Raw genomic sequence first — 16,569 nt, 5'->3', positions numbered from 1 at the left:
AGTAAAATAAGCTATTGGGGTCGAAGGTAGGGGACAGATTCCCATAACTTTTATTACAGTGTAATTGTTCTGTTTTATTTATTTTTTGAGATGGAGTCTCGCACTCTCGCCCAGGCTGGAGTGCAGTGGCGTCATCTTGGCTCACTGCAAGCTCCGCCTCCCGGGTTCACACCATTCTCCTGCCTCAGCCTGCCAAGTAGCTGGGACTACAGGCGCCCGCCACCCTGCCCAGCTAATGTTTTGTATTTTTAGTAGAGACAGGGTTTCACCTTGTTAGCCAGGATGGTCTCCATCGCCTGACCTTGTGATCCGCCTGCCTCGGCCTCCCGAAGTGCTGGGATTATAGGCGTGAGCCACTGCACCCGCCCTGTTTTATTATTAGTTGTTACTGATCTCTTACAATACCCAATTTATTTTTTATTTACTATTTTTTTTTTTTTAGATGGAGTCTTGCTCCATTGCCCAGGCTGGAGAGCAGTGGTATGATCTCGGCTCATTGCAACTTCCACCTCCCAAGTTTAAGCAATCCTCCTGCCTCAGCCTCCCCAGTAGCTGGGATTACAGGCATCCACCACCACGCCCAGCTAATTTTTTGTGTGTTTTTAGAAGAAACAGGGTTTCACCATGTTGGCCAGGCTGGCTTTCAACTCCTGACCTCAAGTGATCCGCCCGCCTCGGATTCCCAAAGTGCTGGATTGCAGGCGTGAGCCACCACAACCAGCCACAATGCCCAATTTATAAATGATACTTTATAATAGGTATGTATGTACAGGAAAAACATTATATATATGGGATTCAGTACTATCCAGTTTCAGGCATCCACTGAGAATCTTAGAACATATCCCCAGTACATACTACTGTACTCTAGCCACATTCTCCTACTTTTCCTCTTCCACCTGTTTCATCTGATTCTTTTTCATCATTCTTTTTCAGCAAGCTCAGTCTCTTTCATACAGATGTCAAATGATGTCTTCCTCAATGTACCTTTTGTCTCATAGTATCTTTTGTCCCAAAAAATCTCACCCATGCCTTGCCCATGGCTCCAACTAATATGAACAAGAATATGTCCTTTCTGAGTTATAGATGCTCTGGTGTTCTCTCAGTAAATGACGATCTATTCAGCCATCCAGTGATGAAGCTAAAAACGTGGGAGCCATCCTATGATATGGAAACCTGAGAACTGAAAGCCTCAGGACTTCATTCTCCCTCAGTCAACATTATCCAATGCATTACTACATCAGATGCATTTTACCTCCTCATCTGTTTTTATTTTCTATTCGCAATTTTCATCACACCATAATCACTAATAATGACTTAACTGTCTCTTTTTACTTATTTGTGGTCCCCTTCTAACACATGTTCAACAATCCAGCCACAGTGAACTTTTAAAATGAACAGATCAGAGCATGGCGGCTCCTGCTAAACACTTTTTAATTATATACATTGTTTCTGAGATAAAAATAACAAAATTTTTTAACAAAGTCAACAAGGCACTGAACACTTTGTCCCATATCTACTTCCCAGCCTCATACTGTGCCACCCTCCCTTACTCTGTGAGCTGCAGATTCCTGGAACCATCTTCTTCTCTCTTCCCTAGTTAACTCCCAACTCATCCTCTCAAGTAACAGATCAGAGATAACTTTATTAGCAAACACCACTGATGAAGAGTCCAGGTCAGTTATCCCTGTTATATCACTGAATAGGCATCAAAATTGTTCCTTGGACAGACTTCTCAGTTAAGTAATAATGCATTTGATTATTTTCTGGTGTCTTGTCCCTTATACTAGATTCTAATTTCTCATGAGAGCAAGCAGTATAGATGTATGGCCCAATAATGAATCCCAAAACCTAGCACAGTACTCAATCTATACAAGGTATTTACTATTTGTCAAATAAATAGCATGGACTCAACTAGTATGCATAAGAAACACTATAAATAGGCTGAGTGCGGTAGCTCCTGTCAGTAATCCCAAGTACTTTGGGAGGCCGAGGCGGGCAGATCGCTTGAGCCCAGGAGTTTCAGACCAGCCTGGGCAACAAGGCAAAACCCTGTCTCTACAAAAAAATTAAAAACTAAGCCAGGCATAGTGGCGAATGCCTGTAGCCCCAGCTGCTTGGAAGGCACAGGAGGGAAGATCGCTTGACCCTGGGAAGCTATGGCTGCAATGAGTCATGATCACGCCACTGCATTCTAGCCTGGGCAATAGAACGAGACCCTCAATCAAAAGAGAGACGAGGAGAGAGAGAGAGAGAGACACCCTAATGAGTAAGAAACCAGCAGTCATAGGGACAGGGAGGTTAGAAAAGAAGGACTCAGAGTTTTCTAGTAGTAGAATTTAAATATCCAGACAGGTCACAAAGGATAAGGTATCAACATTTTTTTTGAATTAAAGAGAAAGTGTCTCATTGTATTGCCAAGGCTGGTCTCAAACTCCTAGGCTCAAGTGATCCTCCCACCTCGGACTCCCAAAGTGCTGGGATTATAGGCATGAGCTACCGTGTCTGGTCAAGGTATTAAATTTTTAACACACTAAGTTATTTTCTTCTTTTGAGACAGAGTCTCGCTCTGTCACCCAGGCTGTAGTGCAGTAGTGTGATCTTGGATCACGGCAACCTCCACATCCCGGGCTCAAGCAATTCTTCTGCCTCAGCCTCCCCAGTAGCTGGGATTGTAGGAGCATGCCAACACACCTGGCTAATTTTTGTATTTTTAGTAAACACAGGGTTTCACCATGTCAGCCAGACTGGTCTCGAACTCCTGACCTCAGGTGATCTGCCCGCCTTAGCCTCCCAAAGTGCTGGAATTACAGGTGTGAGCCACTGCGCCCAGACACAAAACCTAGTACTGTGCTAGGTTCTGGCACCTGTAGTCCCAGGTACTCGGGAGGCTGAGGCAGGAGAATGGTGTGAACCCAGGAGGTGGAGCTTGCAGTGAGCCGAGATTGTGCCACTGCACTCCAACCTGGGAGACAGAGCAAGGCTCTGCCTCAAAAAAAAAAAAAAAAAAAAAAAAAGACACTAAAATTTATAAAGGTTTTTGGGCACCTCATTATTCAAAATATAAAATCAAATCCAGGAATTCTACTTTGGAGAAATCATCCTTTTTAAAAAAAAAAAAAAAAAAAAAAAGAGGCATGGTGACTCACACATGTAATTCCAGCACTCCGGAAGGCCAAGGTGGGAGGATCCCTTATTAAGCTCAGGATTTCAAGACCAGCCTGGGTAATATATGGAGACACTATCTCCACCCAAAAAAAAAAAAAAAAAGCCATGTGTGGTGGCACACGTCTGTGCTCCCAGCTATTCCAGCTATTCCAGCTATTCAGGATGCTGAGGTTGGATGACTGTTTGAGCCCTGGAGATCAAGGCTTCAGTGAGGCGTTGTTATGCCATTACACTCCAGCCTAGGCAACAGAATGAGATCCTGTCTCAGAAAAATAAACAAATACATAAATAATAAAAATATGAAAAAAATCTCCACAAAGTGGAAAAGGCAAGCTGCAAAATATACAATGTTCTGTTTGTGATAAAGGAAAGACGTGGAAGATGACTAAGAAGTATGTATTTACTCATGTAAATAAAAATATAATTTATATGAAAAAACATTATGTATATAAAAATATATTAATATCAGCCAGGTGTGGTGGCTCACGCCTGTAATCCAAACACTTTGGGAGGCCAAGACCTGTGGTTCACTTGAGGTCAGGAGTTTGAGACCAGCCTGGCCAACATGGTGAAACCCCGTCTCTACTAAAATACAAAAATTAGCTGGGCATGGTGGCACGCACCTGTAATCCCAGCTACTCTGGAGGCTGAGGCAGGAGGAGAATTGCTTGAACCCGGGAGGCAGAGGTTGCAGTGAGCCGAAATTGCGCCACTGCACTCCAACGTACGTGACAGAGCAAGATTCCGTCTCAAAACAAAACAACAACAACAACAACAAAAATTAATATCAATTGGTTGCCTGTTGAAAGGAGTGAAGAATGTGGCGGATCACAGCAAAGCAGAGAGTAAGCTGATTTTTCTGAATCTCACCAACATCTGACTTTCAGAAACTAAAATACATATATTAAAACTAAAATAAAATCACTACCATCCTAACAGAAAAAAGGACAGCTCAAATCAAGTTTCAGGCCAGGTGCAGTGGCTCACACCTGTAATCCCAACACTTTGGGAGGCTGAGGAAGGAGGATCACCTGAGGTCAGGAGTTCAAGACCAGCCTGGCCAACATGGTGAAACCCCATCTCTACTAAAAATACAAAAATTGGCCCGGCACGGTGGCTCACGCTTGTAATCCCAGCATTTTGTAAGGCCGAGGCAGGCAGATCACGAGGTCAAGAGATCAAGACCATCCTGGTTAACACGGTGAAATCCCGTCTCTACTAAAAATACCAAAAAAATTAGCCAGGCATGGTGGCGGACGCCTGTAGTCCCAGCTACTCGGGAGGCTGAGGCAGGAGAATGGCATGAACCCAGCAGGCAGAGCTTGCAGTGAGCCGAGATCACGCCACTGCACTCCAGCCTGGGAGACAGAGCAGAAATTCTTCTCTAAAATAAAATAAAATAAAAATAAATCAAGTTTCAGCCCCATCCTTTAGAGTAATTTAAAACTAAGGTACCTAAGATTCAAACACAACAATCAACTGAAAAACAAACAATAGCATTTAAAGGAAATACTCCAAATTAAAATTTTAAACTTCAAAATTATTAATAAACATTTACAATTGTTTCAGCTTTTATATTATAAAAAATGATACAAACCTGATTAAAGTAGAAATACGTAAATATACTAAAAGGTGATTCCGGACAATGTAAACATTAGAAAAATGGCCTAACACCTTCCTGGCATCAACAGAATAATTGAGAATGTTTAAATCAGCCGGGCACAGTGGCTCACGCCTGTAATCCCCATACTTTGGGAGTCTAAGGCGGGCGGATCACCTCATCTCAGGAGTTCAAGACCAGCCTGGCCAACATGGTGAAACCCCGTCTCTACTAAAAATACAAAAATTAGGCCTGGTGCAGGGCTCATGCCTGTAATCTCAGCACTTTGGGAGGCCAAGGCAGGCAGATCGCCTGAGGTCGGGAGCTCGAGACCAGTCTGACCAACATGGAGAAACCCCGTTTCTACTAAAAATACAAAATTAGCTGGGCGTAGTGGCACATGCCTGCAATCCCAGCTACTGAGGAGGCTGAGCCAGAAGAATTGCTTGAACCCGGGAGGCAGAGGTTGCGGTAAGCTGAGATCACGCCACTGCACTCCAGCCTGGGCAACAAGAGCAAAACTCCATCTCAAATAAAAAATTAAAAAAAAAAACAAAAAACAAAAATTAGCCAAGCGTGGTGGCGGATGCCTGTAATCCCAGCTACTCGGGAGGCTAAGGCAGGAGAATCGCTTGAACTCACAAGTCAGAGGTTGCAGTGAGCTGAGATTGCACCACTACAGTCCAGCCTGGGCAACAAGAGCGAGACTCCGTCTCAAAAACAAACAAACAAAAAAAAAAAACTGAGAGAAGGTTTAAATCATAGAGTAAAACGAACTTTTAAAAGCCCCAAAAGATAAAATATGTAACACCAATTCATTCACAAAATGTTCCAAGGAAAAAAATATATTATTATTAAGATAACAAAAATTGAGTTATTCTAAAGGCAACTGCCTTTAACATGTATAATCACTGCAAGTATTACCTTTCATTTTTGAATGTGTGTTAATCAACGGATCAGAACAAATCCTGCAGGGCCACCATGGGCGTCTCTTGAATTTTGCCCAGATGAGATCTCCAACTTCATACTTCAGTGGCGTAGACTTTTTCTTAGGTTGACACTTTAGACAGACAAAACATGGGGCATCAATAAGAATCAAAATATTTTGAAACATTATTGTCATTCCTATTAGCCTTCTGAAAAAGCAATGTATGAAAAATTGAGAATGAAAACACTCTAGCCTAAAAAGAATTACAAAATAAGTACAACTAAATTATTCCATCTTAATTGTTCATAACATAGCCCTTTATACATAGTTCTCAACTTATAATTGTTTTATATAATGAATCTATCCGTATTTTGAAAATAAAATTAAGCTGGCTTTATTTTTAAAGAACTAAAAACACACACAATAAAGAAAATCATCCGAAGGAAAAGACACCCTTGATCTAGTCCTTGGATCAAAACACAAAGGGAAAAAAAAAATGGAGAAAAAATTATAGGAAGAATTTTTAATAATATCAAGAGACTTCAGACCCTTCTGCATGTGATATTCTACATGCTTTTCAAACCAATATTTCTATTAGCGTATTAACAATAGTAATAGCCAGGAGTGGTGGCACATGCCTGTAGTCCCAGCTAACACTTTACTTTCAGACATAAGCCCCAGAGAAAACAGCAAAGAATTCTTCTAAATACTCACAGAAGTTAAATCTCATTAAAAATACTGGGATTGGCTGGGCACAGTGGCTCATGCCTGTAATCCCAGCACTTTGGGAGGCCGAGGCAGGTGGATCACCTGAGGTCAGGAGTTCGTGACCGGCCTGGCCAACATGGTGAAACCTTGTTCTACTAAAAATACAAAAATTAGCCGGGGGTGTTAGCGGGCACCTGTAATCCTACCCAGTTACTTGGGAGGCTGAGACAGGAGAATCGCTTGAACCCTGGAGGCGGAGGTTGCAGCGAGCCAAGAGCCACCGTACTTTAGCCTCGGCGACAGAGAGACTCTTCAAAAAAAAAAAAGAAAAAAAAAAAAAAGGCTGGGTGCAGTGGCTCATGCCTGTAATCCCAGCACTTTGGGAGGCCGAGGCGGGCAGATCACGAGGTCAGGAAATCGAGACCATCCTGGCTAACACGGTGAAACCCCGTCTCTACTAAAAATAAAAAATTAGCTGGGCATGGTGGCGGGCGCCTGTAGTCCCAGCTACTCGGGAGGCTGAGGCAGGAGAATGGCGTGAACCCAGGAGGCGGAGCTTGCAGTGAGCCGAGATGGCGCCACTGCACTCCAGCCTGGGAGACAGAGCAAGACTCCGTCTCGGAAAAAAAAAAAACCTGGGATTAGTTCCTCCTGTATATAGAGCTACTAGAAAATGAAACAAGAACTACATCTTACTTTCTTTTAAAAAGCTCTAAGGGGCCAGGCACAGTGGCTCACATCTGTAATCCCAGTACTCTGGGAGGCCGAGGTAGGCAGATAACTTGAGGCCAGGAGTTTGAGATCAGCCTGGCCAACACAGCGAAACCCTGTCTCTGCTAAAAAGAGAAAAAAATACAAAAATTGGCAGGGCATGGCGGCGCATGCCGGTAATCCCAGCTACTCGGGAGGCTGAGGCAAGAGAATTGCTTGAACCAGGGAGGCAGAGGTTGCAGTGAGCCAAGATTGCGCCACTGCACGCCGGCCTGGGCAACAGAGTTAGACTCTGCCTCAAAAGTAAAAAGAATAAAATAAAATAAAAAGCCCTAAGGGGGCCAGATGCTGTGGCTCTTGCCTATAAATTCCAGCACTTTGGGAGGCTGAGGTGACAGGATCACTCCAGCCTAGGAGTCTGAGATCAGCCTGGACAACATGTCAGACCCAGTCTCTACAAAAAATTTAAAAAATTAGCTGGGCATGGTGGTGCATGCCTGTACTCCCAGCTGCTTGGGAGACAGGTAGGAGGACTGCTTGAGCCCAAGAATTCGAGGCTACAGTGGACCATGTTCATGCCCACTGCACTCCAGCCTGTGCTACAGAGTGAGATCTGTCTTTAAAAAAATCTAAGGGACCATATTGATGGTTATCAAGTAAATTCTCAAAAAGAATACGACTTCAAAGTTAATTGACTTTGAAACTTTAAGAGATACCAAGAATCGATGGGAAAGACAAATATTTTATCTGTACTGAAAACTGCAATCTGAGTAGGTTCCAATAAATTTATTATATAATTTGATTTTTGATTATTTAAATATGATTTATTTGGCACTGCTAAATATGGAACTTGCTTATTTATTCAAGTCCTAAATGACTTCAAATACATTAAGTAACATGATGTTTGCTACATGCAAGGCACTGTTCTTCAAGTAAACACATTATTACCCATTATTTTACTACATGCCTGTGGTTACATAGTTATTAAGTGACAGAACCAAGGATTCAAACCTGGGGAGATACAACTCCAGAGCCTAAATTCTTAAACCACTCTCCTGTTATCCAATAACAACAAAACCTCATTATTATTATATGCTTTATGACAAATTTAACTATAACCAATCTAGCACATGTTGTTGGTTCTGTCTTCTCCTCAGAGAACTACTACAAAAAGATTACATTGTATTTTTGGAAGTATAATCATAAAATACATGCATTCAATAGACAGAGGAGAAAGAATGTCAGTGGTATCAGGTAAAGACAATAGCCAGAACCACAGAACCAGAGAAAGTAGTAATAAATCCTCTCTTCTGACTCCATCACAAACTGTGTCACCTTCAAAAAGTCTGTTAATTTGGTCTCAGTTTCCTAAGCCACAAAATTGGGAAAGTAACACCTACTCTATAATACACCATCAAAATGAGTAACTAGTAATTCAGCTCCCAGTATTTTAAGCCCCAAAAATAATTCAAAGTAATTTCCTATAATTCCTAATTCTAGGGTAAGATATTTAAAGCAGGTTTTTGTTTGGTTGGTTTTTTGTGTGTTTTTTTTGAGACAGGTTCTCACTCTGCCTCCCAGGCTGGAGTGCAATGGTGCAATCTTCACTCACTGCAATCTTCGCCTCCTGAGCTCAACCCATCCTCCCATCTCAGTGTTCCAATGCTCACCAACATGCCTGGAAAATTTCTGTATTTTTTGTAGAGATGGAATATAACCACGTTGCCCAAGCTGTTAAAGCATTTTTTTTTTAAAATGACAAAAGTTAATATCCACCAAGAGATCTGTTTAAAAAAATTATGCTAGGAGCCGTGGTGGCTCAGGCCTGTTGTCCTGGTGCATAAGGAGGCGAGGCTGGGCGTTCAAGGCCAGCCTGGCCAACACAGAAACCTCTCATCTATATAACCAAAAAAAATTATGCTATTACAACTCTATGAAATATGCTAAGATGTCATATCTTAAAGATAACAGAGCTATACATACACTGTATGATCCATTATAAACTAGGCTGAAGCAATAATGATGACCTTAAAAAAACTTTTAAATAACAAGGCCATTGAGAAACACAAATTTTAAAGTTTCATTAATTGATGGTACAATGAGTAAAGACTTTAACAAACCCCTATTTACTTTCTTCTATCTTGAAAAATTTACATGACCAAATAAAATAACATATGCAAACCCACTGGAAAAATAAATCTATATAAATACACATTAATACTTTCGTTCATAGACAATAAGGACCAAATCCAACTGATCTTAATAAATAAACTTAGAAACAGGCAAGAATTCCAGACCACAGAAAAGCTTCTAAACATGAAAATAAGAACAAGGGTGTAAAAAAGCAAGACGACTTTAAGACCAGCTTAAAAATTTTATCTTGCAGAGACAGACACTAAAATAAATCCATTTAAGCCCATAATTCAACTACACACAAACTTAGTAAACACCTATGTACAAAGCTCAACAAGACACACAAAGACGAATAAGTCACAATTCCAGATCCCAAGACACTTGGGAAAAGAGATCAGAGAAAATGTAAGTAAAGAAGTGGCATCTTCCAGGCTTAGACTGGCAGGACTGGCAGATTTCAGAATGGCTTTTTCTAATGTCTATAGGTCCAGTTGGAAATAATATACTGGTACTAAGCCTTTTTTATATATGGTATTGGGCCGAATTCTGTGTACACTGCCACTCTACACACACACAAGATATACTCCTCCCTAACCCAGTAGCTGTGAATGTGATCTTATTTGAAAGTAGGGTCTTTGCAGTTGATCCAGATGAAGTCACAAGGGTGGGCCTTAATTCAGTGCAACTGTTTCCTAATAAAATGGAGAAATTTGGAAACAAAGACAGGCACAAATAGAGGGAAGACAACGTGAAAACACAGACAGAACACAATCTATTAACCAAGGAAAGCCTGAGGTCAGACATTAGGAGAGGGACAGGGACAGATACACACTCACAGTCCTCAAAACAATGTGCTGACAACTTGAGTTTGTACTTCTAGCTTCCCGAACTGAGAGAGAATTTCTGCTGTTTAAGCCAGCTAGTTTGTGGTATTGCATTACAACAGCCCCCCAAAACTAATACACATACATTATTTTGCTTACCCCTCACAACCTTACAAGACAGCATTATCTCGATTTTGCAGATAAAGAAACTGAGGCTCAAAAAGGTTAAGTCACAGGCTGGGTGCGGTGGCTCATGCCTGTAATCCCAGCACTTTGGGAGGCCAAGGTGGGAGAATCACTGGAGGTCAGGAGTTCAAGACCAGCCTGGCAAACATGGTGAAACCCCATCTCTACTAAAAATACAAAGATTAGCCGAGCATGGTGGTGTGTGCCTGTAATCCCAGCTACTTGGGAGGTTGAGGCAGAAGAATCGCTTGAACCTGGGAGGCGGAGGTTGCAGTGAGCCAAGATCTTACCACTGCATTCCAGCCTGGGCAACGGAGTGAGATTCCAGCTCAAAAAAAAAAAAAAAAAAAAAAGTTAAGTCACAATTGTAACGATTAGAATTTAAATCCATATCTGAATAACTCTAAAGACCATGTTTTTTGCATTAGAAATAAATATGGCTAGAATTTGTTTGCAAAGTGTTTAAATCCAACCTAAAAGCTAACTAGATTTAAAACCTCCCATTTTCTTTTTGATTGTTGGTTTGTTTTTTGAGACACAGCCTCAGTCTGTCACCCAGGCTGGGGTGCAGTGGCGCGTTGATTTCAGCCACTCGAATAGCTGGGACTAAAGGCACACACCACCACACCCAGAACACAGGTCTCCCTGTGTTCCCCAGGCTGCTTTCGAACTCTTGGTCTCAAGCAATCCTCCTACCTTGTCTTCCCAAAGTGCTGGCATTATAGGCCTGAGCCACCACGGCCACCTTATATTCCTTATTTCACTGACAGTGACGTATCACTTTATATTAAACTAACCCAGAAAAGCTCGTCACTACCATCTTCGAAAATCACTAAAGGCTTAAGACATCTCTACAACTCTAACTAAGAAGTGGCTCTTGAGCCAAAAGTTCTGTTTAAAGGAATTTTGGACGAGATCTTTACTTTCACTAATGAATTTTTCTAGCAACAGTTAAAAATCAAACCTATGTTGCACTTCTGAGGATTTTTTAAAAAAACCTAAACCGGTTCAACTATGTTCCTGGTCATATGGGATATGCTATTTTAATGTAAATTGAATATAGTCATTGGCTATCAATCTCTTCCCAGACATATCCAAAAATTACAGTTGAGCTAAATATTAAAAAATAGCCATAGTGCAACAATTTTTTCTTTTTCGTTTCTGAGACAGGGTCTCCCTATGTAATGCAGGCTAGAGTGCAATGGTGTGATCACAGCCCATTGCAGCTTCCACCTCCTGGGCTCAAGCAATCCTTCCCCCTCAGGCTCCCAGGTAGTTGGGACTACAAACGCACACCACCACACTGGGCTGATTTACATATATATATTATATATAAATATACATATAATATAATATATGTTATATATAATATATTATATATAACATATATTATATGTTATATTATATATTATATATATAAAAAATATATAATATATAATATATAATATAAATTATATAATATAAAATATATAATATATAATATAGTTATATATAAATATATAACTATATTATATATATTTATTTATATATATAAATATATATAATTATATAAAATATATAAATATATTATATATATTAATTATATAAATATATAATATATAATATATATTTAAATATATAAAACTTATATATTATATATATAAATTTATATATATATATATATAATATACATATATAATATATAAATATATAAAATATATTATATATAATATATAAAATATATATAATATATAATATATAATGTATATATATTATAATAAAAAACAAATATATATTATATATATATATAATATATATTTGGTCTCTGTCTCAAAAAAACAAACAAAAAAGCAAATATATATTTGGTTTTGTTTTTTTGAGACAGTCTCGCTCTCATCCCCCAGGCTGGAGTGCAATGGCACAATCTCAACTCAATGCAACCTCCGCCTCCTGGGTTCAAGCGATTCTCCTGCCTCAGCCTCCCGAGTAGCTGGGATTACAGGCGCCTGCCACCATGCCCGGCTAATTTTTGTATTTTTAGGAGAGACAGGGTTTCACCATGTTGGCCAGGCTGGTCTCGAACTCCTGACCTCAGGTGATCCACCAGCCTCCGCCTCCCAAGTGCTGGGATTACAGACGTGAGCCACAGCACCTGGCATTTATATTTTTTGTAGAGACAGGGTTTCACCATGATGCCCAGGCTGGTCCCAAACTCCTGAGCTCAATCAATCCACCCAAATCGCCCTCCTAAAGTACTGGGATTACAGGCATGAGCCACTGCACCCAGCCACAGTTTTTTAGAAAAACTTGCTGAGAATCTATAGTGATACACAACTTGAGGTAAAGACGAGGGGAAGTGGGGGAAGTACTAATGCTTTACATAACAATTATCATAGAAATTATCGCAACTCTAAGGACTCAGTTATTGTTTTAGTTACCAAAAACTCCCATAATATTAAGTTGTTATAAAGAGACGACAGCAATATATAAGACAAAAACACATCCGTTTAGATGCTTGATTTATATGATATCCAAAGCCTACTAAAACTTTTCCACAGCTTAAACTACCCATATTTAAGAATAACGTCATCAAATCAACCCAAGTATAAATACATAATCTCATTTATAAACAAGAAAAGGCCAGGCGTGGTGGCTCAGGCCTGCACAATCCTAGCACTTTGGGAGGCCAAGGTGGGTGATCGCTCGAGGCCAGGATTTCAAGATCAACTTTGGCGAGATCCCATCCTTGCGTGCACACACACACCCACACACACCCACACCAGGCAGACATGGTAGCACACACCTGTAGTTTCAGCAACTTGGGAGGGTAAACTGGGAGGGATGCGTGAGCTTGGGAGGTCAAGGCTGCACTGAGCCATGACTGCCCCACTGCACACCAGCCTAAGTGACAGAGTGAGACCCTGTCTCCAAGAGAAAAAAAAACCCAAAACAAGTAACTAGACTATGTGAGGATATCAAACAAATCTAAAAGAAAAATATAACAATCAAATTAAAGTTTTCCTAAAAATGGACAAAAAATCTGAATAGAAATTACTCAAAAAGACATACGAATGGCAAACAAGAATATGACAAGGTGCTCAGTATCACTGATCATCAGAGAAATGCAAATCAAAACTACAATGAGATACCATCTCAAACAGATAAAATGGCTTTTATCCAAAAGAAAAGAATAAAAGGATGTGGAGAAAAGGGAACCCTCATACGTTGTTGGTAGGAATGTAAATTAGTACAAATCTAGACAACAGTTTGGAGGTTCCTCAAAAAACTAAAAATAGAGCTACCATTTGATCCAGCAATCCCACGACTAGCTATATACAGAAAAGGAAATCAGTATTTCAAATAGACATTTGCCCTCCCATGTTTATTGCAGCACTGTTCACAATAGCCAAGATTTGGAAATAACCTAAGTGTTCAACAGATGAATAAATAAAGCAAATGTGGTACATATACATAATGGAGTGTTATTCAGCCATGAAAAAGAATGAGATCCTATCATTTGCAACAACATAGATGGAACTGGAGATCATTATGTTAGATGAAATAAGTCAGGCACAGAAAGACCAACTTCATGTGTTCTCACTTATTAGTGGGAACTAAAAATTAAAACAATAGAACTCATGCTGATAGACAACAGAAAAATGGTTACTAGAAGCTAGGAAGGGAAGTAGAAAGATGGAAGTGAGGACGGTTAAAGAAAACAAAAGAACAGATGATTCAGTAAGTCCAAAAAAAAGTTAGAAATAATGAATAAGAACTAGAATTTGATAGCACAACAGGTTGATAATAATTTAACTGTATATTTTAAAATAAGAAAAAGGGTATAATTAGATTGTAACACAAAGGATAAATCCTTGAGGGGATGGTAACTCCATTTACCCTAATGTAATTATTACATATTGCATGTCTGTACCAAAATATCTCATGTATATCATAAATATATATACACAAACATTGAAAATAAAATTTTTTCTTAAACACAGAATGACCATATGATGCAGTAACTCTACTCCTAGGTATACAATACCCAAGAATAATGAAAACACATGTCCATACAAAAACTTGCAAAAGCATACCTTGGAGATACTACAGGTTCGGTTTCAAGACTACCACAACAATGCAAATATTGCGATAAAGTGAGTCACGAGAATGCTTCAATTTCACAATACATATATAAAAGTTAGATTTACACTACACAATAGTCTGTGTACAATAGCATTATATATTAAAAATAACAAATTAAGAATGCTTTGTTGTATTCAATGTATAAATTTGGGGGAAAAAATATATAGTGCTAAAAGAAAAGAATATCCAGCCTGGGCAATATAACAAGAACTCATCACTAAAAAAACAAACAAAAAAATTTTACCCCTTAACTGAGGCTGGTTGTGGGGGTTCACACCTGTAATCCCAGCACTTTCGGAAGCCAAGGCAGGAAGACTGCTCGGGCCTAGGACTTCAGGACCATACTTGGCAATATAAGTGAGACCTCATCTTTACTTAAAAAAACAAAAAAAGAGGCCAGGCACGGTGGCTCACGCCTGTAATGCCAGCACTTTGGGAGGCCGAGGTGGGCGGATCACCTGAGGTCAGGAGTTCGAGACCAGCCTGACTAACGTGGTGAAACCCTGTCTCTACTAAAAATACAAAAATTAGCCAGGCGTAATGGCAGGCGCCTGTAATCCCAGTTACTCAGTAGGCTGAGGCAGGAGAATCACTCGAACCCGGGAGATGGAAGGTTACAGTGAGCTGAGATTGCGCCATTGCACTCCAGCCTAGGTGACAGAGCGAGATCCCATTTGAAAAAATAAAAATAAAATAAAAATTTTAAAAAGCGGGGAGGGGAGGGGAAGGGAGGGGAGGAAAAAACAAAGCCAGACTTAGTTGGGGGTGCTGGCACAACCTTGTAGTTCTAGGCAAAACAATCACTTGAGTCCAGGATTTTCAGGTTACAGCAAGCTACGGTTTTATCACTGTACTTGAGCCTGGGAAAGAGAGCAAAACCCTGTCTCTAAAAAATGATCATCTGAGCTGCAAGCTTTATGCTGATGGAGGGTCTTGCCTCAGTGTTCATGGCTGCTTGCTGAAGGTCAGAATGGCTGTGGCAATTTCTGTTTTTTGTTTGTTTGTTTTTGCTGAGACAGAGTCTCACTCAACTGTTGCCCAAGCTGGAATGCAGTGGGACAAAAACAACTCACTGTAGCCTCTGCCTCCTGGGTTCCAGCGGTCCTCTAGCATTGGCCTCCCAAGTAACTGGGACTAAAAGTGCATACCACTATGACCAGCTAATTTTTTTTTTTTTTTTGAGACGGAGTCTCACTCTGTCACCCAGGCTGGAGTGCGGTGGCGCGATCTCCACTCACTGCAAGCTCCACCTCCCGGGTTCACACCATTCTCCTACCTCGGCCTCCCGAGTAGCTAGGACTACAGACGCCCGCCACCATGCCTGGCTAATTTTTTGTATTTTTAGTAGAGACAGGGTTTCACCGTGTTAGCCAGGATGGTCTCGATCTCCTGACCTCGTGATCCGCCCACCTGGGCCTCCCAAAGTGCTGGGATTACAGGCGTGAGCCACTGCGCCTGGCTAATTTTTTAAATTTTTATGTTTCCCCGGATGGCCTCAAACTCCTGGGCTCAAGTGATCCACCTGCCTTGGCCTCTCAAGGTGCTGGGATTACAGGAAATAGCACAGAACCCACCACAGCAATTTCTTAAAGTAAGACCACAATGCAGCCAAGCACAGTGGCTCACACCTGTAATCCCAGCACTTTGGGAGGCCAAGGAGGGCAGATCACTTGAGGTCAGGAGTTCAAAACAGCTTAGACAACATGGCAAAACCTCATCTCTACAAAAACTACAAAAAATTAGCCAGGCATACTGGCAGGCACCTGTAATCCCAGCTATTCAGGAGGCTGAGGCAGGAGAATCACTTGAACCCGCGAGTTGGAGGTTGCAGTGAGATGAGATTGTGCCAATGCGCTCCAGCCTGGGTGACAAGGTGAGAACCTGCCAAAAAAAAAAAAAAAAAACCAAAAAAAAACCCATAATGAAGTTTCCCACATGGATTGACGATTGACTCTTCCTTTCCTGATTTCTCTGTAGCATTCAATGCCATTTGATAGTATTTTATGCACAGTAGAGCTTCTTTCTCTCTTTTTGGGTGTTTTCTGGAGACAGTCTTGCTCTGTCACTGTCACCGAGGATGGAGTGCAGTGGCACAATCTCGGCTCACTGCAAACTTCCTTCCCGAATTCAAGTGATTCTCGTACTTTGGTGGCAGGTGCCTGTAGTCCCAGCTATTAGGGAGGCTGAGGCAG

At 40.7% G+C, this 16,569-nt stretch overlaps 1 protein-coding gene across 12 annotated transcripts in view; it reads right to left on the bottom strand.

Moving 5' to 3' along the window:
* NSD1 (nuclear receptor binding SET domain protein 1) overlaps positions 1-16,569 on the bottom strand; it is a 168,416-nt gene that overhangs the window by 102,505 nt on the left and 49,342 nt on the right. For all 12 annotated transcript variants that reach the window (NM_001409301.1, NM_001409304.1, NM_001409305.1 and 9 more), the window contains one exon: positions 5,690-5,825. In NM_001409301.1, the coding sequence (NP_001396230.1) occupies positions 5,690-5,825 (136 nt within the window). The remainder of the gene's footprint in view (positions 1-5,689; positions 5,826-16,569) is intronic.

Source organism: Homo sapiens, chromosome 5 (genome assembly GCF_000001405.40).
Source record: "Homo sapiens chromosome 5, GRCh38.p14 Primary Assembly".
NCBI lineage: Eukaryota > Metazoa > Chordata > Mammalia > Primates > Hominidae > Homo > Homo sapiens.
This window is presented reverse-complemented; position numbering and strand designations above follow the sequence as displayed.